General features: G+C 40.9%; 1 protein-coding gene across 2 annotated transcripts in view, besides 2 other annotated features; it reads left to right on the forward strand.

The window, feature by feature from the left end:
• The window catches only part of SND1 (staphylococcal nuclease and tudor domain containing 1), a 440,400-nt gene that overhangs the window by 60,624 nt on the left and 355,800 nt on the right, over positions 1-23,976 (forward strand). For both annotated transcript variants that reach the window (NM_014390.4, XM_017011987.3), the window contains exon 10: positions 8,470-8,583. In NM_014390.4, the coding sequence (NP_055205.2) occupies positions 8,470-8,583 (114 nt within the window). The remainder of the gene's footprint in view (positions 1-8,469; positions 8,584-23,976) is intronic.
• Positions 14,052-14,843: an enhancer, noted in NCBI's record as "OCT4-NANOG-H3K27ac hESC enhancer chr7:127366923-127367714 (GRCh37/hg19 assembly coordinates)". NCBI's record gives its function as "activates a minimal SCP1, AML or CMV promoter by ChIP-STARR-seq in naive H9 embryonic stem cells {active_cell/tissue: H9 hESC(naive)}" and the evidence as "EXISTENCE:reporter gene assay evidence [ECO:0000049][PMID:30033119]".
• Positions 22,610-22,824: a silencer, noted in NCBI's record as "fragment chr7:127375481-127375695 (GRCh37/hg19 assembly coordinates)". NCBI's record gives its function as "represses an EF-1alpha promoter that drives an FKBP-Casp9 reporter gene in an ReSE screen in K562 erythroleukemia cells {active_cell/tissue: K562}" and the evidence as "EXISTENCE:reporter gene assay evidence [ECO:0000049][PMID:32094911]".

The raw sequence follows: 23,976 nt of genomic DNA on the forward strand, positions 1-23,976 counted from the left end.
GAGCTTACTTCTTTAATTGATGTGTAATATTTCATTGTAGGCTGCAACATAATATTTTTGACCAGTCTCTAATAGGTTTATATTCATGTAGTTGAGAATTTTTTTCGTTATTTAGAAAGTGGAATAAATCTCCAAGTAATTGGCAGTTATTTCCTTAGAAATTATTTGGCTCACATTTGCCAAACATGTCTTTAGAAATGTTAACCAGTATATACCACTAAGTGTGTTCATTTTCTAATATGTTGTAAAACAGGGATTGGACAGCTTTTTCTTAAAGGACCACATTGTAAATATTTTAGGCTTGGTGGCCATGTGGTCTCTGTTGCAACTACTGAACCCTGCCATGGTAGCAGGAGAACAGACATGGACAGTGTGTAAATGAATGGTTGTGGCAATATTCCAGGAAAACTTTATAACAATATGAAGTGGGCTGGATGGCCCTTGGGCCATAGTTTGCCAGCCTTTCTTGTAGAACACTGGATAGCAACATTAAGTTAAAAATGGAAAAAAATACATGCATTACTTTTCATAACCTGGAACTCAACAGCAGTTCTGTATCATTTTACCTGATTTAAAATATCTGTTAGTGGCAAACAGCTTTTTTCAGGGAATCCTAAAAAAGTTCTAAGATACCTGGGACCTTCACATAGTCTGAAAGTCCTGCAAGTCTTCCCTGAGTGATTCTGCTTTCAAGATCATGTGATTGTGAAGCCTTAACAAATAGTGATTCTCTCTTCAACAATCACCCTGTTTTTTAGGAATTAATTGTACAGGGCCCCGCTAAAAGCCTCAAAAGCCTGCAAAGGGTAACCTATGGCCTCTAACTGGATGCCTCTGGGGCTCTACAGTTGATTTCTGGAACTGAGGCAAAGCTGTAGGTCAGAGTGCCAAGAGGCTTATTAAGCCTGAGAAATGTGAAACTTGACAAAGTATTCTCTGATACATGTGGCCTATTGAGAGACTGGTTCCCTTTGTCTGCTTAAGCAGTTTTACTTCTTGAGGAATGAAATGCAAAGGAAGGGCTCTCCTTGTCTTTCCAGGTTAGCAGAGAAGCATGTTCACTTCACAGCGATTAGCTGAGCTTGCCCGAGACTTTTGTGCCCGTCGTGGCCTGCCAGTTCCCTCCCTGCCTTCCCTGTGGCGTTTTAGCTGATCTGTGCTGTTTGTAGCCATATGGTCCCCTGAGCACGTGGCTTGGCTTCCCTGTTCCTGCTGCTGGATCCTTGGGCATTGCAGATTTCACAGACCTGAATAACATTGTTGTGGGGGGTGGGGGAGGGATGGAGTGGAATCATGTCCTCAAGAGGTGTCTCCTTACCACCCTACCTGGTTAGAGGCTTCTTGCTTGGTCCTCTGTACCTATATATAGATTAAGCAGAGCCCTGAACTAGGTGCTTTGAAAAGATGTAAAATAACTAGAAGTGGTTCCTGCCTTCAAGGAGCTTACCTGCTAGGGCTTTGTCTGGGAGCAGTAAGTGGTTAACTGGCATTGGTGGCCAAGTCCAGTTTTGGAGATCAGGATATAAACTGTCCATGGGTACAGTAGATTTTAAAATGTATTTGGTTTTATTTACCCTGATAGTTTTTTGCTGTGCTTCCAGTCATAGCTCTAGATGGAGTTCATTATCATGTCTCTGAGAATTTTTTTCCTCAAATTGTTTATAATGACAAAATTCATAACATAATATGTAGTATCTTAACGATTTTTAAGTGTACAGTTCAGTGGTATTTATATTCATATTGCTATGTAGCTATCACCACCACATATCTCTACAACTCTTCATTTTATAAAACTGAAACTATACTCATTAAGCAATAACTCTACATCCCTCTGTTTCCCCTCTTCCAGGCCCTGGCAACCACAATTCTACTTTTTGCTTCTGTGATTTTGACTACTCTAAGTAATTCATATAAGTGAAATCAGACAGTCTGTGTCTTTGTGACTGTCTTATTTCATTTAGCATAGTGTCCTCAGGGTTCATCCATGTTGTTGGATGAGTCAGAATTTTCTTCCTTTTTAAGGGTAAATAATATTCCATTGTATGTGTATACATTTTGCTTACAACCTGTTCATGTGTCCATGGGGACACACTTGGGTTGCTTCTACATTTTAACTATTATGAACAATGCTGCTATCAACATGGTTATACAAATATCTCTTTGAGACCCTGTTTTCAATTATTTTGAGTTTGTACCCAAAAATGGAATTGCTGGATTATATGGTAATTGTATTTTTAAGTTGTTGAGGGAATTACTATATTGTACCATTTTACATCGGTGCACGAGGGTTCTACTTTCTGTACATCCTCACCAACATTTGTTATTTTCTGGGTTTTTTTTGGTTTTGTTTTTTTTTTTTATAGTGGCCGCCCTAATAGGTGTGAGGTGATGTCTCATTGTGGTTTTCATTTGTATTTCCCTAATGATTAGTAATGTTGAGCATCTTTTCCTGTGCATTTGCATATCTTCTTTGGAGAAATGTCTATTCAAGTCCTTTGCGCATTTGAAAAAGAAATTTCAACTTTTCTTTTAGATTCGGGGATACATATGCAGGTTTGTTACATGGGTATATTGTTTGGAGTAGGAATGATCCAGTCACCCAGGTCATGAGCGTAGTACCCAATAGGAAGTTTTTCAGCCCTGGTCCCCTCCCTTACTCTCCCCCAGCTCTAGGAGTCCCCAGTGTCTATTGTTCCTGTCTTTAGTCCATGTGTACCCAGTGCTTAGCTCCCACTTGTAAGCCTCTTTGCCTGTTTTTTAATTGAGGTTTTTGTTTTTTTGTTGTTGAGTTTTAGGAGTTCTCTATATATTCTGGATATTAATCCTTTGTTGGGTATATGATTGGCAAATATTTTCTCCTATTTTGTCAGTTGCCTTTTACTTTGTTACACAAAATTTTCATGAAATCTAATTTGTATTTGTACTATTGTTGCCTGTTCCTTTGGTGTCATATTTGAGAAATCATTGCCAAATCCAATGTTGCAAAGTTTCTGCCCTGTGTTTTCTGCTAAGAGTTTTGTAGTTTTATAGGTCTTATATTTAAGTAATGAATCCATTTTGAGTTTGTTTTTAGTTTTGGTGTTACATAAGGGTTCAACTTTGTTTTTTTGCATGAGGATATCTAGTTTTCTTAGGACCATTTGTTGAAGACAGTCATTTCCTCATTGAATGGTCTTTGCACCCATCTCAAAAATCATTTGACTGTATATGCAAGGGTTTATTTCTGGACTTCATTCTGTTTCATTGGTTTGTATGTCTGATTTTATGCCAGTACCATGTGGTATTGATTACTGTAGCTTTGTAGTAAGCTTTGAAATCAGGAAGTGTGAGTTTTCCTGCTTTGTCCTTTTTCTGGATTGTTTTGGCTATTCAGGGTCTCTTGAGATTCCATATGAATTTTAGGATGAGCTGTTCTGTTTCCATAAAAATCATCACTGGGATTTTGATAAGGGTTGCATTACATCTGTAAATCGCTTTTGGGTAGTATTGACATCTTGACAGTATTGTCTTCCAGTCCATGATCATGGGACGTGTTTCCGTTTATTTATGTCTCTAATTTCTTTCAACAGTGTTTTGTAGTTTTCTTTGTACAAGTTTTTCACTTCCTTGGTTGAGTTAATTCCTAAGTATTTTGTTCTTTTTTGATGATACTGGAAAAGGAACTATTTTCTTAGGTTTTTTTTTTTTTGGATTGTTTATTATTTATAGAAATGCAGCTGATTCTGTGTGTTGGCTTTATATCCTGCTACTTCATGAATTCATTTATTCTAACAGTTTTTGTGGAATTATTAGAGTTTTTTACCTATACGTCATCTGGGAACAGTGATAATTTTATTTCTTTCCTTCCAATTTAGATGCCTTTTGTTTCTTTTTCTTGCTGAACTTCTTTGGCTAAGACTGTCAGTACTATGTTAAATGGAAGTGGCTCTCTGACATGGTTTTTAAGCAAGGATGCAGCTGAATATTTTTGGCATTATCTGGATTTCTCCAGTATATTCCTATGTGATAATATGGAGAGAATCAAAAAATACCTGCCACTTCCTTGCCTTTTGCCATTTGACTTTCAGTTGGAAAGGAAGTTCTGGAGATTGTCTCACTAGAAAGGTGGGCTCTGCTGAACCAAAAAGGGATCAAGACTTGGTTTGCAGCTTATACTAGTAAACCAGTGTGCTGATAAGAAAAAGAAAGTGATTGAGTTAGAAGAGATTGAAAGAATATTAACCTGGCTTTAAAAATTAAATTATTAGAGACTTCATTTTTTAGGTCACTCTTTAGATTTACAGAAAAATTAAGCAGGTAGCACAGAGTTCTTATATTACTCATCCACCCTCAGCCCAGTTTCCTCTGTCATTAATATTTTACGGGAGTATTGTATTTTTGTTATAGTTAGTATATCAATATAGATACATTTTTATTAACTAAAGTTTATATTTTATTCAGGTATTCATTTATTTATACTTTATTTCTGTTCCAGGATACCACATTGCATTTAGTTGTCATATCTCCTTAGGTTCCTTTTGGATATGCCAGTGTCTCAGACTTTTTTTTTGTTTTGGATGACTTTGACAATCTTGAAGTACTGGTCAGGTAGTGTGTAGGACGTCCCTCTGTTGAAAGTTGTCTGATGCCTGATTTCCATGTAAGTACATCTTAAGAGTATCTGGTTTGGTTGTGCTTAGGTGCCTGGAAGTGCCTGCATCAGGATATTGTTGTGGTTTGTTTTTGTTGAGGACAAGGGTGGCAGCTGTACTCTTCTAGGGGACTGGGGAGAAGAGACATAGCATACAACCTTAGGGAGTGGGAAAAACAGCCAGATGTCATGATTTCAGAGAGGAGAATAGGTATCTGTGTGTCATTCTCAGTGACGTCATCAAACCACAGTCTCTGGTCATGCTTGTAGAAGGCCCTTTTGGGCTGAGAATCCTTTTGTTTCTATCTGGTACTGGAAATTTTGGCAGCATTGGGGCTATTGGTGGTTATGTCCACAGCTCAGGAAGCTGTTGAACAAAAAGGAAGCTTTTTTGTTTGTTTTATGTGTGCTTCAGGGTTTTCAGAATCTGAATAACAGCAGCCCGTTGCACCCAGTGAGCGCTGTGGATGGGCTGTACAGATGAGAGAGTGTGACAGAGGCTGAAGATAGGCATGGATGTTCCCCTAACGGAACTCTGGTTTTCTTGACTCATGGCAGCCCTTAGCCTACACCTTATTATCATTAAACCATTTTTTCCTTTTATGATTGGGCTTCAAGAAATGGGGAGGGAATTGGATTTAGTGCATGTATTTGAGTCCAGCTAATGACTTTTTCCATGTAGACTTTTGCTCCTATGCCTTAGGTTATCTCTTGGTGTGTGGGGTGTGAGCGTGCATGGGGTTGGCTTGATTAGAGATCTGTAGCTAGCAGAGAAAGTGGGCAGTGTGGGCATACTTCAGTTATCCTGATGAAAAGCACCAGAAGAAATATCACTGTTAAAATGTGGTCCGTAATGGTGCTGATGAGCTGGCTTCAGACAGTAATCCACTCTGCATCTCACTTACTGCACAGTACGTGGCTATAATCAGTATTTTATTGCCGATTCCATGTCTCTGCTCAGGAGCTGCTTGTTCTCTGGACAGTAATGACACAATTTACAGAGGAATAAAAAACCATAAACCCCACTTATACACACACGCGGACACGCACGCATGCACTCACCCTTCCTATCTTCACCAGCAAGCTAAACCTTGCTTAGCTGGCAGTGGCAGAGTGCACAGTTCCTGAAGAGGAGGTTTCTAATCAGGGAGATGCTGAGCAGCAGAGAGAGTCTGCTGCTGGGGCCTAAAATTTACAGCTCTAAGAATTCATTGCTGCCGTTGCTGCTAACATATTACAAGGGGTGCCTAATTCCAGTAACTTGTTACAGGACATCCTTAGATCTTCATGTTCTGTAATCAGCAGGTAAAGGTGTGAGCACTATGATACTTTCTTTGGTTTTATTACTCTCTAAGCATGACTAGGGAGCAGAAAACGTCTAGATATTTCTCGTGTCTTGATTATAGGAATTTCCTTATGTTTTTGGGAATTCACAACAAGAATTTGTTTTGGTTTGAGAGAAGGTGTAGATCTGTCCAGTATTAAGATTTGGGAAATCCTGTGATGTATGTGCCTTTGATACATCATCTGACAGTTACCCTCTATCCTTTGGGTATCTGTTTGGAGGAGGAGTGGTATTGATTTGCTATAGTAGCTATTTTGCTTGGTATGGCTTAGTGGAATTTTTTTTCTTTTCTTTAGCTTGAAATTAGGATACCACAATAGCAGATATCATGGAAACTGCCCCCCTGAAATATTCTGTTATCCATTTTATAATATCTTTCCCTTCATCCAAATGTGGGATTTTGAAGGACCAGGAAATCATTAGCTGGGGTCTTTCTTTTTGGTCAATTGTCCAACCCACTACTGGAATTCCATTACTGTGTACATTTTTACTTGGCATTAGTGTGTTTAGATGGTAATGGGAATAAGATGTACTCTATTTTTTCTTTCAGTGACTGAATCTGTATTTTTGGTTATACTGTCTAGACAGTTTTTAAGTTCTAAACTCATGAATATGTTTTTGTGATTGGGCTGGCATTAAGGGGCTGTTTGGTTTGGGGTAGCTAGCCCTGACCTTGGTCCTGGTGTGATCACTCATCCTGCCTTTGATTACCATTAATCTTCATGTTTTTCTGGCAAGATGAATTTTGGGTTCTGGCTCTCTGGGTTTTAGTGTTTAGCCTATGATTCTCAGATCTGTCAAAAAGGTTATAGGAGAATGGTTATGGTTATTTGAAGTTGTCGTTTTCCTGTTTTCAGGGTTGTAAGTTAATTTTAAGTATAGTAGAAAATTAAAAATTTCTCCTGATCTACTCAGTTCTTTCTTAGAACTTTCATTACTTTTCTGATTGCTGGGCTGTTCTTCTCTACACTGCTTTCATTGCTTACAGTGGTAAAACCCAGGGATACCTTCCCATCCACCAGCCATAGTAAACCTTCTATGGACTTACAGATTGATTCCAGCTGTCATCTTTGTTTTTTCATTCATTCTGTTTGATGGCACTTAACTCCTGCTGTTTTCTGTTACATATAATTTCTCACTTGTTTATGTTTTCTATCCTTCTTGAGATTGTTTCTTAAGGCATTCCTTACTCTTCGGTGTGTGGTTGGTTGGTTCTTTGTGTTTCCGGTGTGTGGCTGGTTGGTTCTTTGGAAAAGGTAGAGAATTGCTGTTTTTGGAGGAAGCTGCAAGTAAATGAATACATTCTGTGCTAGAAGATCTAAGGCCTTTCAAGAAATAGTTAGAGAGGCCTCCTTTAAGATACTTATCAGTGTGACATCCATGATGGCAAAAAAGAGTCTAGCTCCTTTTGTTTCACGCATGAAAGAGGAGGGAAATTTTGCCAGTCCGCCCTTGCTGTGTGGCAGCTGACCCTGTAAGTTTGTTCAGTCTGGTAGCTCTTAAAGAGGCCCGATTGAAGCCTAGAAGAGTTCGATTTTGATTCTGCAGATGAAGTAGATGGTGATAGTGTTTTGTAGTCTGCAGCTACCTTGTAATAAAGTGTTGCTTCAAAGAAAAAAAAAGGCATTGAATATAATTGGGCAAATTGTAGACTGCTGGCTGTATTATGCGTTCTAGCTACAACACTGATGTGGTAAGATCCCAGTTTGAATGGAGTTTTATTCTGCACACATTGTAGAATGTTCTAATAACCTTCACAGAGGAGTATTTATGCTTTTGTCCTTTGACTACATACCCTTGTAATTTATCCCAGACTAGTTCTTTTTCTTCTGAGCGTGGGGTTCTGTGTTACTGATCTTGGGTTCCAAAACAAAGATGTCCGTAGTAGTAGTGCTCTGAAAAGGTGGCTTTCAGAGTATCTGAGGTAATATCTCAGTAATTTCATGTTTCTGCCTGTGAGATTAACAGCTGAGCATCTCCTTTCCCATGCTGAGATGACAATTCTTTTTGCCCTTCACTTGCCTTTGATTTTTCTGCTCTCTATTGGGGCATCCTATTTTGGTTCTTTCTCATCTAGTGCTGGTATCTTCTTCAAATCCAACCCTTGCCTCTTTTTCTAGATTCACATTGAGATTTTGATTTTAGTTTAGAAGCTGTTTCAAGGAAAATCTTCAATTACATGTAGAGACAGGATTTCCAGTTCTTAAGCTTTGTAGTGAACCACAAATCTTTGTCAGGGCAAAAATAAAAAAAGATTGACCATCTTTATGAATGATACAGATTTTGTCTCATTGAGAAATCATAATAAGGTCTCTGGGAACTGATAATTATAGCATAGTTTTCTCTGACATTGTTGCACCATGAAGGATGATACTGTTTTTCCCACAAATGGCTATTGATCTCACTTTCTACCTGTGAGGGTGGTGGGCCTTGCTCTTGGACATGTGATGGGGGCCATAGAAGCAGGTTTAAGCATGTTCCTTTTTGCTCACAGGTGATGCAGGTTCTGAATGCTGATGCCATTGTTGTGAAGCTGAACTCAGGCGATTACAAGACGATTCACCTGTCCAGCATCCGACCACCGAGGCTGGAGGGGGAGAACACCCAGGTGAGAATAGGGAAGCAGCCGCGCCTCTTTGCATAAACCAAAAGGAAGAAGTTGGAGAATTGATTAATATATGACATATATAATACATATATGTGGGAATGCAAAGGGACAAGTATTTTAAATCTCCACAGTATTATTTTCTAATATTTATAGCCTGACTACTATTGGGCAGGTCTCAGTGTCTTGTGGCCCACACCCACTGCTCTGCCGAATTTCACGTGGGCACTGTTGGCACTTCTCCCCAGGGGGCTTGAGTGCAGTGAGGGTTGGGATATGTGAGATGGTGGATGAGTTTAATTAACAAGATCTTATTTTTCTGTGAATAAGGAGAGGAGAAGGTCTGTATCTCGTGTACATTGTAATAGGACCCGTTTCTGCTGGTCATTTTGATTTGATAGTTCTTTATGTTTTTGCTCTAGGAAGAAATGAATCTTGGTATATGTATTCACTGGGGTCACCTACTCATTTTTTGCAGGTAGTAACTCTAATTAGTAGTTAAACTGTTTGCTATTTTTTGGATCTTTTGGCAGATAGGTTGGTGTATGACTCAGGTATATCATTTTTGAGAAATGCTTTGTATGAAAACTCTAACAAGAGCTGGTATTACATGTGCAGATAGACTGATTTTTTTTTGTAGTCATGACAGTTATGTAGCCATAAGAGTTATGAGAATTGGGAATAGGGATTAAGGTTGAAAATTTTTGGGGATTTGGTTATGTCATATTTTTACAGACGTCTTTCCCGCTTCTGTTTTTGTCGTCTGATAACTAAACTGTGTGATTATGTTAACTAGTTATAGAACTAGTTCCTCAGTGAGAGCCAGCGCCAAAGGCAAACATTTGGACAGTTTTCAGTAATTAACTATTGTGGATTGAAGTTACTGCTGTGTGTACTATCTACTGCCTGCTTTTTTTTTTTTTTTTAAGAAACAGGGTCTTGTTATGTTGCCCACACTGGAGTGCAGTGGCTATTCACAGGTGTGATCATTGCGCCCTGCAACTTCAAACTCCTGGGCTCAAACAGTCCTTCTGTCTCAGCCTCCTGAGTAGCTAGGACTATAGGTGTGAGCCACTGCACCCAACTTATCTACCTTTTTTTTATTTATGCCTTTATACAAAAAGGATGGGATAAAAAAAATCCCTTTTGTATAAAGGGATAACTAAAAAAAGGTAGATAAGTTGGGTGCAGTGGTTCTAAAGGTGTGAAATTTGCTATTCTGATGTTTTGCACATATACATATCTTGGTGCATTCACAAGTTGAAATTCAGCATTGTTTTCATTTGTGTGAGAGTTTATAGACAGCCCGTAAGAGTAAAATAAAAATATGATTGTCTTTTGAATCAGATCATACATAAAAACCACGTACAGGATGGGTGATTTGAATGTCTGGCCAATCAGTTCTTTCTCTCTCTTTTTTTCCCTTAGAGGAGGCAGTTTAATGCAGCAAACAGTATTATGGTAAGGTTGAGAATTTAAATGTATGAAAGCCTAGAAATGCCAAAATAAGGTTCTCTCAGTAACTGTAGCTCTGCCTCATTGCACAGAGTAAATACACATCTCCAATTTTATCAGTATTGGGAGTAGTCCACAATTCTGCATCTGTGCCGTACAGTTGGAATTAAGGTTCCCACAGCAACCACAACTTTGAAATTCTTGAACGTTAATTTTTGTGCCTGTATCATCAGCCAGTGCATTATGTTAATGTAGACTATATAGCTGAATTTTAAGCAGTTTTTAGGGGGATGGGGGTGTTATAGCTTAGGTAGGATGATAGCAGGTTTTCTGAAGTAAGCACTAACCTACTACTGAGTATTTTTAGTCCCAGTATCCTTTGGAACTCATCAGTGGGTAAACGATGCATTTCCCTTAGCCTACTGGCTGACAGGAAATTGTTGGAATTGGAGTATTTCCTAGTTTAGGCAGAATCCTGATTATAGAATTTCTTGTCTCTTACAAGGCGTGTTACCTCTTTTTTTTCTTCTTTTTTCTTTATTCTTTCTTTTTCTTCCTGTTCACTCCTGAGATCTTACTCCATTTTAAGACAGTTCTAAGTAAGACTTAGCTGCAATAATCTACAACATATGGCTTGTGAGGAAGATGGAGGAATGATTTCCATTATTTGTCTGTTAAAGTCCTTTGGAAGAGTTTACTGAAGGGCCACGTAAGAAATAAGTTAATATAATGAACCTTGAATGTAGTGGTAGAAGGTACCCTGAAGAGTAGCCGGTTTTGGTGGGTGGTCTGGGTGATCTTCCCAGGTCAGCTGCTGTACCTTGTGAGTGTCAAGGATGAGAAGTGAGTCAACAGGAGGAATGGCTCTCTAGGCCAGCGCTGTCCAACAGATATATAAATATGAGCCACACATGTGAGCTCTATTTGTTATTTTAAATTATCATATAACTACGTTAAAAAACTAAAAAGAAACATTAATTGTAATTTTTAAATTTGACTTATATCCAAATTATTATATCATTTCAACATTTAATGAATATGAAAAATAAATGAGACGTTCTTCCCCTTTTTAAAACTGAATATTTGAAATATGGTATGTATTGTACATTGGCACTACATTTTAATTCATCATAGCATATTTCAAGGACTCAATAGGCACATGAGGCTAGTGGCTACCATTATGGATAGCACAGCTTTAGAAATTTGCATGAACAGGTAGTCATTGTTGGTACATATTTACAGATACTTATTTTGTGCCAGATACTGTGTTGGGGGTGCAGCAGGGAATAAATAGATGTCCCTTCTCTGCCTCATGGAACTTTAGAGTCTAGTAGGGGAAATACACAAGTAATTTCATTTACGTTAAGTGCTATGAAAGAAAAGCTTAGAGTTTAGGAGAGTGCATAGTTTGGGAAGGCTACTTTGAGGAAGTGACATTTAAGGCCTGAAGAGATATTAGGAATTAGCTAGATAAAAAGTGGGAGAAGACAGTTTCTGACCTGGAGAGCAGCAATGACAAGAATGAGTTTTGGGGACTAGAGAATGGATGGCTCCTGTGGACGGTGCATGAGTGGTATGACACCTGTGTGGTACGAAACCACAGGCAAGGCCAGATCAAACATGTCCTGTGAACATCTTAGGATACTCAGGAAGGGAGAGAGAAAATGGGGCATATGATGAACTGCAAGTGATTTTGTATGACTGGAATAGAGGATAAATTTCAGGGGAGTGTTAAGAAATGGGCCTGGGAGTTAGACAGGGACCACTTGTTGAAGGCTTATATGCCATGCATTTTAGGTTTTGTCTTGAAGAATTTTGAATTGGTGAGTGGCATGTTTGGATTAAAATACTCTTGTTTCGGTTGTTTGAATTTACAAGATATGAAAGCAGTTTGCATATAGAGAGAATATTATGCCTGGTAAAAACTTACTTTAGCAAGGAACTCTGGATTTTCTTTTGGTAAGTTTCAGTTGACCAAAGACCTGGAAAATGGCATGATGAAGAGTTAATGTCTTAGGAGACGTTAACTCTTTCAGGCTGATGAGTGAGAACTATGGATGCTGCTCCAGCAGTCCTTCTTTATACTTGCCTTTTGACTTAAAGAAATCCCCCCACGCCAACCCCTGCCCCTTTCCTTGGCCTGAGATTACTAAAAGAAAAAAGAAAAAGAAGAAGAAAAAAGAATTCCCCAGAGCTCTTATAAAGAATACAAGATCCTGCTGTATGCTTATGTTAAAGTTACCAGAGATTTACAATATGGGTGTGGTAAGAAACATCACCTGGGCATCCTAGTGTGACTGTAACTGTATGTGTTTAAAGACTGAGCAACAGGCATCCTCTCGGAGTCTTAGGTTTCTGGTTTCATTTACTACGTACCAGCTGTTACAGTCACAAGTGGAGCCCAGTTGAGTATTCATGGCATAGATGTTGGGGCCAGGACCTCTGTTAGCTCATATGGCATCTTTGTGCAAATTTAGAGAAGGGTACTGCTTCTTCCTGTCAGCATCATGCCAGGGGCCATGGCTTGGCAAGCAGAATGGAAGCTAAATTTTAGCTCCTGTTCTCCCTTTGTCCGCTTTGCCAGGTACCCTTCTGCAAGGCACAGCATGGGTAAAAATATGGGCCTGCCCTAGTTAGAACAGGCTGGTAGAATCTCCAAGGAAAACATCAAGGGCATTTTTTGGAAATTGAGGAGTGGTTTTGTAGTTGCGGAAACATGGAGTGCTTGAGGAATGTTAAGAGATGAAGGTCTGTGATGGATGGACGGTGGAGGGCCTTGAAAGAAACACTAAGGACATTTCCTTCTCTCTAATTACAGGACTCTGCCTGGGGGTCAATGGCTTTGGCATGGAAAGGATAACCTGAAAACTTACGGTACCAGAGCCTTTTCCAAACCAAAGAACAAAGCGGGAGAGGGTGCAGAATAAGGAACTAGATGAGTAGGAGAAGAGGGAAAGTCTGTGGCATGGGCTTCCTCAAGGACAGGCAGATGGGGCAGACATTCCTGTTCTAGGGCGGGCCTCCACTGCTAGCTCCCAGATGAGGACTCAATGGGACTTTCCCTTCAAGGAAGCATGGGGGAGGTTCTTTTAATATTTTCTTCCTCCGAGACAACTCTACATTTGGAGGGTAGTAGGGCAAATTGTTTTTTTCTGTTTTGTACACAGAGACAAGTTCATTTCTCTTAAATTATACTGGAAGATGAGCTTTTTGCCTATGGCTAACCATATTTCTGCTCCCTTAATTTGGTTACTTTCTAATTGGAGCCAGAGGAAGTACTTGGACAAACACTGTGATCAAAGGAACTGTTTTCATCCTAGGCTTTCCAATATTACCCGGAAATTCATGGGTAGCCACTTCTGGATTTTGGTTGGAGCTTGGTTTGTTCCTAGATAGTGTTATGCGAGAGTTAAAAGGAGGGATGTGCAATATTTCCCTCTCTAGAATTCTAGCTGGATTTGTCTGATGTTGACGGTGTTTCTGTGGCACCCTGCTTCTGGATTAATCCAGTGTCAACCCGTAGGAGACGTTAACTCTTTCAGGCTGAGAGCCAGTTAAGAAAGCTGACGTGTGATGCTCTTGTGAACCTGGCCATGTATCAGGGTTTCTCTAAAGGTATAGTTTGTTTTATCCAGTTGTTTGCTATAAAGGAATGTGCTAAATCTTGGAGAAAGGCTGTGGGTTTTCTGAGCTGCTGCCTTAAAGGAGATAACACATTTTGCGATCTCAGGACTTCCTAGAGAGTGCTTGGCTTTGATCTGAAACTGGAAAGCCTAGTGCTCTATTGCCCAGGGCTGCTGTGGGCTTTGTGTTACACTTGGAGTGTTAATGACAAAGGAAACAGCCCCCAGGCATCCGATGAAGGGGCTGACTTATTCTCCCTGAAGTCTGTTCTTGCGGTGCTATTGTAGTTGACTAAGAGATACAGAGCTGAAATTTACCTTGAAAACAGGTACATAATTTACCCAATCCCCAGGTGTATAAAATTTGCTTTAGGTTGCTGGGCCTTTTTCTCAGATTCCTTTTCTTAGCTGTCTGTCTCTCCCATTCTCTGTCTTTGTATCTGTTTCTCTGTCTCTGACAGCCCCCACTGCCAGCGCTCCCACTTAGTATTTTGGGAAGGAAGTGTGGAAACCCAAAGGTGGAGTCTTTCCCTCAGCTGGTAGTCACCCCCTGCTACCAGCCTCTATTCATTTCCATCACCCTGTCTTTTAGTGTCCTCCCTGTGAATTTATTTACCACATAAAGGTTTGTTCACACCAGGGCCTCCAAATATTCAGACCCGGGTGCTAAAGGATCAGTTTTGTTAAAGCTGCCATATGCTGAAGCCCCCAGTGTCCTTGTTGCCTTTGTTTGGGGAGTTCATCTCCCAGACCTGGCCCGCCTGGCTCTCCAGGGCAGGCAGGTGGGAGAGAGGAGCTGAGATAGGTGCATTATTAGTGATGCCTTGGGATTCTTAAGGGCTTTTTGTCAGAGGCAGGGTTATGTAAGGCACTGATAACTCCATTCATTGTAAGGGGCTCCGGGGTGCTTTGCCATTAAAAGCGATTTTCAACCTATTCCCTCCAGTTTAGATTTGTAAAGGCAAAATGACTGGTCCCTCTGGACCCTCAAGCCGACTTTGCCGACTCTGAGACACGTGCCAACAGAAAGCTGTGGGGTTAGAGACCCTAAGTGAAATTGGAGCAGGCCAGTAAACCCACTCACTGTGATCTCCTGCTTGTTACTGGGAGCATAAGGCAAATAGCAAATTAGAGAGGGACTCCAGCTTGGCATTAAGGACCTTGGAGAAAAGCAAAAGCTCTTTGAAATGGATATAGCATTTCACCAGTCTCCAATGGAGAGATTTTGGGACTGCAGCAATGTGATCAAAAGATGTGGAATATGTTAGAGGCTGGCGTAGGCATTCTGTACGAGTTTCAAATTTGTTTCATCTGGGCATTTTTGAGAAGAACACTTGAAATCTTCTTTGTTAGAAGACTGAAAAAAATTACTATTAGAAGACTGTGGGTGGGTCTTAGCTCATCTATTTAAGATTCCAGGATATATATGTCCTGATTTTTAAGATTAATATCTGGGTACCAACACTTAAAACATCCCTGTGACCTGTTCCTCAGCAGTAGAGGTCATGGAGTAGGGGTACAAGCCTGCCTCCTTCTGATGAGGTCAAGACATTTGGTATCTGGATAGATAGCAGACTTTGCTGAAGTGCACATTTCACTGATCTCTCTAAGTGAATTTTAAACTGGAGAAGACAGCATGTGCCTGTCTTGTTGCCCTTTGATTTCCTTTCTTCTCCCCATTACAAATTATATTTTCTTTCATTTCCTTTAGTTATATATTCCCTTTCCCAGGATCTTGCTTATCTCCTTCACATAATTTTTTGGGATTTTAACAATCTCCTAGTCTTGGTGGTTTATCCCTGAACTGGGTGCATTTACTTCTATCAATCCATATCTCTCTCTTCCTTTAATCATCACTATCACACAGTTCTACATTTTCAATTTATCTAAATCTTTCTAGTGCTGGTGTGTTCACATTTCTTGTCTCTTCTCAGTCTCGTGAGCTGCAGTAATTCTGTGTTGCTTCCAGAGTTGTCAGCACCATCATATTCACTGCCCTGTGAGCATTTACTGTACTTGCTGTGCTGAGGTAACCCTCTTCCTTGACCTAGTTCTTGAAGGCCCCTTTAGGCCAGAGACTTCCATACACACCATCTTTCCCTTCTCTGTAGCATCGTGCACTGTTTATTTGTGTACATCTCTACCTTCCATTGTGAAGTCTCACCTCTACCAAGGCCAGGAATGGCAGGGTCTTCCCAGCTTCATATCCCTTCTTTCAGAATCTTACAGAGTGCTGTGAATAAATAAACATTTAATAAATGTTTGAATCAGAATATCTGCTGAGGCTTAGACCTAATTCCATATATTGCTTGTGAGTGGGCATCATTTTTACCACCTCCCAATCCATGGCTAACCCCCTTGACTGCTCTGACAGCCATCTTGACTTGAGCCAATGTGCTGGTATCTAACTATCTCCGGAGGGAGGTTTTACACTCCTGTTTTTTACTGCTTCCTAATTGGATTGCTTGTTTTGCTGGCTAGGTCACACATGGCTGTTTTCTGTAGGCACTTCTTCTTCTACACTCCCAGTTTTAATCTAGTTGCTGCCATTGGGTTGACTCGCCCTGCCTCTCTCTGTGTGGTGGTTTTCCTCATAATGTATATTCCATTAGCACAGTGAAGATTGAGTTCAGTCCACCAGAGGGGTTAATTTCAGGATTTTAAGTGCTTTTGAAGATTGGTCCCCAATTGACTTTCTTTCAGCACCTCTACTCTGATTCAGGCTTTTCTGAATATCTTCCTTTCATAGTAGTTCAGGTATCTTGATTCATTGAAGTTTATAGTTGCAGTTTTTACTGAGGGGTATATATATATATTTTACTGTTGTCGACCTTGTTGGTTGTCAGATTATTTCTTTGCTTGGAACTAATTTTAAAATCAATTAGAGATCTCTCCCTTCATCTTTCTCTTTTATTTATGAGATACTGATTGCAGAGCTACCTACACTGTGTTTAGATAAATTACTTTTTTTTTTTTTTTTTTTTTTTACATAACATTTATATTCAAGGCAAGTTTAGTGCAGTCATCCAGTGCTTCGCATTTTTGCAGGCTGGGCTGTAGGTTTCATTCCTTGGTGGGCTAATTAGCTTTGTACTGGGAAAATTTTGTGCAATTCAGAAACCAAACATTTAAGTTCCTTGTGTACTTTAGGCACTGTAGGTCTGGGAAATTATTTTTATGAATAAGGTGTTTATAATTTTAGGATCCATATCTCTAATCCTGACAAGTATGTGTGTGTGTTGTGGTCGGTCACCAGGTAGACTTTAGACTGGATGATGGATTATGGATGAAGCAGCATCATTTCTGTCACTGTTCTAGAAAAAAGCTTTTCATAACCGAGACTGGAATGGGAAGCTGAAGGACACAAATGATTTCCCTACCAGATGACAGGCCAATTGCTTAGGCATATTTTTGATGTCACTTTTCATTTTAGCCTTCCTCTGAAAATCTACGGTCAATTTATGGGCTGTTCACATTGGACAGCTCTTTATTTATTTATTTATTTGAGACGAAGTCTCGCTCTTGTTGCCCAGGCTGTAGTGCAATGTGGCGATCTCGGGTCACCACAGCCTCTGCCTCTGCCTCTGCCTTCAAGCGATTCTCCTGTCTCAGCCTCCCGAGTAGCTGGGATTACAGGCATGAGCCACCACATCCAGCTAATTTTGTATTTTTAGTAGAGATGGTGTTTCTCCATGTTGGTTAGGCTGGTCTCAAACTCCGACCTCAGGTGATCCACCCGCCCCGGCTTCCCAAAGTGCTGGGATTACAGGTGTGAGCCACCGCGCCCAGCCTGACATTGGACAGCTCTTAGTCTCACCATCTACTCTGATATCCGTCTGTTTTTGGCAAATGCCTTTGCCTGGTTTAGTAGTGTATTGGTGGCCACCAAGGAGTATTGCTGTTTCACAGTAGGGTCTCTATTCAGTTTAGCTGTGAAGACATTCTGGAGACTTTGTCTTCCTTGCCTTTTCATTTCTCTGCTAGAAGCCACTTGATGTAATAGCCTTCATCCTTGTTTCACTTTATTGGGCAATTAGTGTGGATAAGCAGAAATATCCCCTTTATGTGTGTTCAGACATTGGTCTCAGAATCTGCTTACCTCTGCTGTCCTGCTGGTTCTGGATAGCCCACATGATGGACGCCTGTAGTTCTGCTGTAAAATACTTTTTCATTGTTTTCTGCATTTTTTTCTCCTTCTCTACTCAGTTTGATTTTTCTGGGTCATGTAGATTTGTCATTTCTTCAGATCTGTTGCTAACTAAATGTCTAGCACATAGTTGATACTCAGGTGTTAGATAGTGTCTCATTGCATCCTCACTGGGGGCCTTTACTCATTATTCATAGTTTGGGGATATAGGGATGGGCAGAATATGCTGACACTTGGCTTTCTGATTCTACCACTCTGCCTTTCCTAGGACATGTTCCTCATCACTACTGGGAACGCGGGACTTTTTTCACATGCTGTTGTCTTTTGTAAGGTGGGCCACAATTAGGAGAAAGCCACATTCATATTCGTATGGAGCTGCCTTTAGCAGCATCTGCTTCTCCAGCTGGAGAGGCTTGTTTTAGAACGACTGGCATGCGGAAGCGGTAGGTGGAGGTCTGGGAGGAGCTGCGTAGCCAGGGCTCCCCTTCCAGCCTCCCGTCTCCCTTAGGCTCTTTCTGGCCTGAGGCATGGTCGCCATGGGTGGGGGCACTGCCCGCCCGATTCTGGTTGGACCCCCTTTCCTCTACTTCATACCGCAGCTGCTGTGAGCGAGTGCACTGTGCTCTGCACAGGAGAATTGGCAGACAGTTCCATATGCTGGTTTTGGCCATTGGGACATTCAGGATTATTAGGCCAGTTTGTACTTTAAGAGGAGGGAGACTTGACATCGCTCAAAGCAGCTTATTTTATTTATTTCTATTTCTTATAAAGGGGAAAGAAGCTAGCCCAGCCCTTAGCTGTTCCTTTCAACGTAGCCGGCTCAACGTTTTCCTCAGGAAAACATGCAGGGTTCCTCACAGCTGCTTGAGCCAGGCTCTGTCCTTCCTTCGCAGATTGCCCCGTGGCTGCCTGCCTCTTCACTCTCCTAAAGCTTTTTGGCTTTACCTTCCTTCCCTCACTCCTCCCAGTCTTCCCTCAGAGGACTGACTGGTTCTTTCAGCCTAGACACTCCTGTTTGCCTGCCAAGTTACCCTTCTTCCGGAGGTGCATAGCCTCAGCACTGTCAGAGTTCAGGAGAACAGAAGCTCCTCCAGTGAGAAGCCAGTTAATAACAGCTTTTGGACCCATTGTTGTTATTATTAGATATCCATAAAATCTAGCAGGTAGAGAACCGTCACTGGGGCTCTGCTGGAGAGATATGTCTCAATCCTAAAAGATACAAATTAGTCCCAGAGTACCTGATACCGTAGACGGAACCTGACAAACTGGAAACTCAGTGTGATAAAATCCTATAACCTTTCATCTCTCACCCCCATCACCCAGTAAGAAGTGCATTCTCAGGGCAGAAGCTAATGGTGTTGAATGTCTCTCTCTTGTCTCTTTATCTAGGAATACAGTGGAGTGTGCTCCTGTGGGAACACGCTGTCTCTTTGCCTTTGTGCCCACCCCAGAGATGGTGGATCTGGAGACTTCGGCCCTTTTGGCCAAGCACATTGTCTTCCTCCACCTGATGGTTCTCAAAAGTTTTGTTTGTTTCTTTGTTTGCTTTTGCGTTTTGACTTGCCAGCATTTCTGGAAGTATCTGAATGGTAAGAGTATAGGTATGTGCTCCTGCTACTTTAGTTGTCATCTGGATTTCTTTGAATTACCTTCCCCATGCCACACTGTGGTTCCTTCCATTTCTACCTGCTACCCTCCCTCTTGGAGTGCAGAGGGAATTTGTAAACTTGGGTTTGAATGATGAGGTCATTTCTGACCAACACAATTTGGTCGTTCTATTAGTTGTTCCTGCAGACCTTACAAAGGAGTATGTTGCTGTTCTTATATGCCCTTGTCTTGTGTTGTTCAAAAATCCTCTGTGCTATGCTTTGGATGCTGCATGAGCCTGCAAATGAATGCTTAGCATTGTTGAAGTTGACTGCTGCCCTTTAGCTGTCTGGCTTTGGGTTCAGCCAGAAAGAGTGGCATCTTTAACCTGAGTCACTTTTTAAAACATGGACAACAACGAAACTGTATTCTAGTTTTCTTGAGCAACCACATTTAAGCTGCTTATTAAATACAATTTTATATTCTAGAAAACTACATTTGTACAGTTTAAGCAAGACCAATATTCTTCTGCTCCTAGAAGAAGTTAAGTAAATTTATATCTTAATTGGTAAAATCTCTAAATCTGTAGTTTGTAGGTATTGATTTCAAGAAGACACCTCACTGATCACAGAAACGAGTGGATGCTGCATGCTCATGGTATGGCACAGTGTTCTTCATTCTGGCTTGTTTGTAATGTCAGGTTTCAACTTTGGTGTTTGTAAATAGTGGCGGGAGGTTTCAAAACTCCAGTTGTTTAGAGACTGTAAGATTTACTTCCTTGATGCCTATGGAAGGAATCAGGCTTTAGACAGCTGTGGTTCAAGATACTTTTTTCAGCTTCTTTCTCATTCCCTTTTTCACATCCATCTTTAACTTTCTCTCTCTCTCTTCCCTCCCCCTAGCTTGGTCTTCATTATTACTGTCTTGGTGTTGGTCAGGATTAATATAAGGGAGTGAGGAAAGAAGAGGTTAGTTTTATTTCCCCTTTTCTCCCTTTACCTTAAGTCCACATTGACTCTATTTTCTGCCTAATTGTAACCTACTGCCATGGATAATTGAGGGATGGAAAGTCCCTCACGGTATTTGAGGTTACTGATCTTAATGCAGTAGAGGACTGGGAAGATGTAAAATCTAAGGAAGCAGTTTTGACTCTCCCATCCCCATGCTTTGTATATCTTTCAGTGATCATGGTGTCCCTAAAGTGATTTTTGAACAGTTCTGAAGCTGAGGAGTAGGGACTCTTTGTTATTTCTGGCTGCAGTTTGACTTTGGTACATCTGTCTTTTACCTAGGTCCCCTTCCCTGCTAGGGAAATTATGTCCATATATATGGTTCTAAGGTATCCCCTGATGCAAAGTTTTACAAGGGCAAATCATTTGATTGTTAACTGTTAGATAGATTCACTGCAAATATGGCTGCCCAACATTATTGCTTCTCATTTGCTACAAACGAGCTCCAAGCCTTCTGGGTTTGCACAGGACTGCTCTGAGGACAAAGATTAAGTGGATTTCTGTTGATGCCATATATTTTGATTGCACAGCAGAGTCGCATTGTGTATTTGGGGCCTGCCACTGACTGCCACTGCCCTTCTTTTCATGGTTTCTCTCCCTCCCCTCCCTCTAAGCCCTAGCTGAGAGGCACAGGTGCATGCCCTGTTGACTCTCATGGTGAAATCTAGTTGAGCTTTTCCCCTAGAGTAGAGGCCAGATCAGTTTTTCTTAAGATGTAGTTCATAAGCTACTTGTGTTAAAATCTCTGATCGGAATGTTCATTTTTCACAATTGCCAGGTATCTCTACTGCACTTCAGCTTGAGAACCACCGTTCTAGATTGTTGCTCTTACCAATGGAAGAGTGTGGGCTTACTAAAGCTCTATCTCCAGGATTTTCGTCTCTGACAATGCAATTTTTCTTTTCTGAGCCAGACTTTAGTGCAGTAATATCTCTGCAATTTCCTGTGTGAGATTCCCCGCTCCAGGTCTCAGAGCCAGATGCTAAGCAGACATGTCCCTCTTAGCTTAGAACATCTCCTGAGGATTCCAGTGAAAGGAGATATAAGAGTTCTGCCTGAAGAAATTTATCTGCTTCAGAGAACAGAGTTCTCTAGGGAATAGTAGAGTTTCTTAGGGTTTATAACATACTATTTGAGCTGATGTTTAGGTGGGGCCTGCTATTTACAGTTTCAGGTTGAATTTTACGTCATGATAAAAAGAGAAAAGGTTTATGAAGTGGTGCCTTGTTAGATCTGGGGTCACACCTCATGTGCAATTATATTAGCTGAACTCGGTAAGGCAGAGAAAAGGATGCAGGTTAAAGAACGTGCTTGCCTCCAGCGTGTGCAGGCAGCCCTCAAATGGTTGGAAGAAAATACAGGTGCTTTATGGTACATAGAGAGAACGTAGGAGCTTGATGGCGGTTCAGGATACAGCACAGCAAAATCCTCAAGCACCTTCTGAACTGTGACTGGCACCCTAACACAGTGTGCAGGTTTAGTGTTAGCGGACGATCTGTGTTAGGACTGACGGAGGAAATCTTGTCCTTGTTCTGAGGCCTTACAGTAGTCTTCTGCCGAGTTCTTTTCAGGACTCAGCTCTGAGCATTACAGGATGAGAAATGCTGTCTGTTAGACTAATTATCTGATTTATGCTAAATAAATGCACAGATGTGATTTAAAAGTCAGTTTTGGGTTTATTAATTTATGATGCAATTTCCAGCTGCCAGACAGACCAGAATATTTTGATGGGCCAAGGGCATTCTTTTTGTGGAGGAAGTTTGCTTATTATTTACAGAGTCTGAGTAAAGGAGGTTGCTGGATACTGAGGAAAACTGAGGTGACCCTGAGTATGTGCCTGGCCCAGGTAGAGCGTGAGGTGCTGGGCATGCACTATTTTGTTGACTCCTCTACCCCGTCCTTGGGAGAATAATGACAACTTGCTCAGGGTTCCTTCTCTGGTAAGTGGAGGAACCAGGATTCGAATTGCCTCCAAAAGTGCCACCTGGACCTGGAGGTTGGTTGGGTGGGTTGGTGGTCTTCTCCTTAGTATTGAGTGGACTTCTTCCTAAGCTCCTGTTTTTCAGGATTTCCACTATCTACCAGAAGCTGTAACTGGCTGTCTTTGTTACTGTAACACGTGCTTTCTTATTTTAACATATTTTTACAAATGAAAATATTTCCTACAACCACTTTTGGAGGCACCATAATTTATATCAAGAGAGGCTCTAGGGCTGGGCATGGTGGCTCATGCCTGTAATCCTAGCACTTTGGGAGGCCGAGAGAGGAGGATTGCTTCAGGCTAGGAGTTCCAGGCCAGCCCTGGCAACATAGTGAGACCCCCATCTCTATAAAAAAGAAAAATATACCTTTAATTTAAAAAAAAGAGGCTGTAACTTTTCTAAAGGGTGACCTGTTTTTTTTTGTTGTTGTTGTTGTTTTTTTGGAGACAGAGTCTCACTCTGTTGCCCAGGCTGGAGTGCAGTGGCACGATCTTGGCTCACTGCAACTTCCACCTCCCGGGTTCAAGTGATTCTCGTGCCTCAGCCTCCCAACTAGCTGGGATTACAGGCATGTGCCACTATGCCTGGCTAATTTTTGTATTTTTAGTAGAGATGGGGTTTCACTGTGTTGACCAGGCTGGTCTCAAACTCCTGACCTCAGGTGATCCCCCGCCCGCCCCAGCCTCCCAAAGTGCTGGGATTACAGGTGTGGGCCACCGTGCCCAGCCTGACCTGTATCTTTTAAATTGTCTTGTCTCCTTTCTGAAGTTTTCCTGGCAATGATCTCATGGTTTAAAAGAGTGAGGCCAACTCTGTGCAGAGACTGAATTCTCCCTTTTTAATAGAGTCTCAATACTAGTCATTTTTGTACAGTTTCTGAGCCCTGAGAGTACCTGCTTCTAAATAGTTCATTGTCAATTTAATTTTCATTCATTATTTTCACACATTAACCCCAATAGATAGATGGCTTGCGTTTCTGCTTTCATCTTCTCTGCCCTAGAAATTTTCCTGATTATAAATGTGACATAATCACTTTATAAATTTGGGAAAATTTAAAGAAGAAAATACAAATTACTTAAATTTAACTGCCCAGAGGCAACATCACAACTGTTAATAATCGCAAGGCCTTCTCACTAGCTTCTCTGTTCATGTTTTATAACTGAGAATTTCTTCTGGCCTTTAAATAATTTCCTGAAACATGATTTTTAATGGCTATGCAGTTGTTAATGTGGACGTGTCATAATTTAACCAGCTTTCACCTATTTTTGGATATATCAGTTATTTCCAATTTTTATGATTATATCTTTGTTCTTAAAATGAAAATTTGCCTTGAAGTACAAAGCATTAAACGGTCTGTTCAGATCAGAGGTAGCTCTTAGGTAAGTTGTGCTGTCGTACAATGTATGCGGTTTGTACCACAGATACATGTTCCCAGAGGGGCTGATATTTAGTCCTGCTGGCAGTACACTCTCTAATCACCTAATTCCTTATCTATTTGTGTTATTTAGAAGCAGGCTGTGATCCAGGCCCTTTGTGTTTTGTTGCCAGAATGCCCATCCCCCCAAACAGCTGAACTTGCTGCTTCTGAAATA

Source organism: Homo sapiens, chromosome 7 (assembly GCF_000001405.40).
Source record: "Homo sapiens chromosome 7, GRCh38.p14 Primary Assembly".
Classification (NCBI taxonomy): domain Eukaryota; kingdom Metazoa; phylum Chordata; class Mammalia; order Primates; family Hominidae; genus Homo; species Homo sapiens.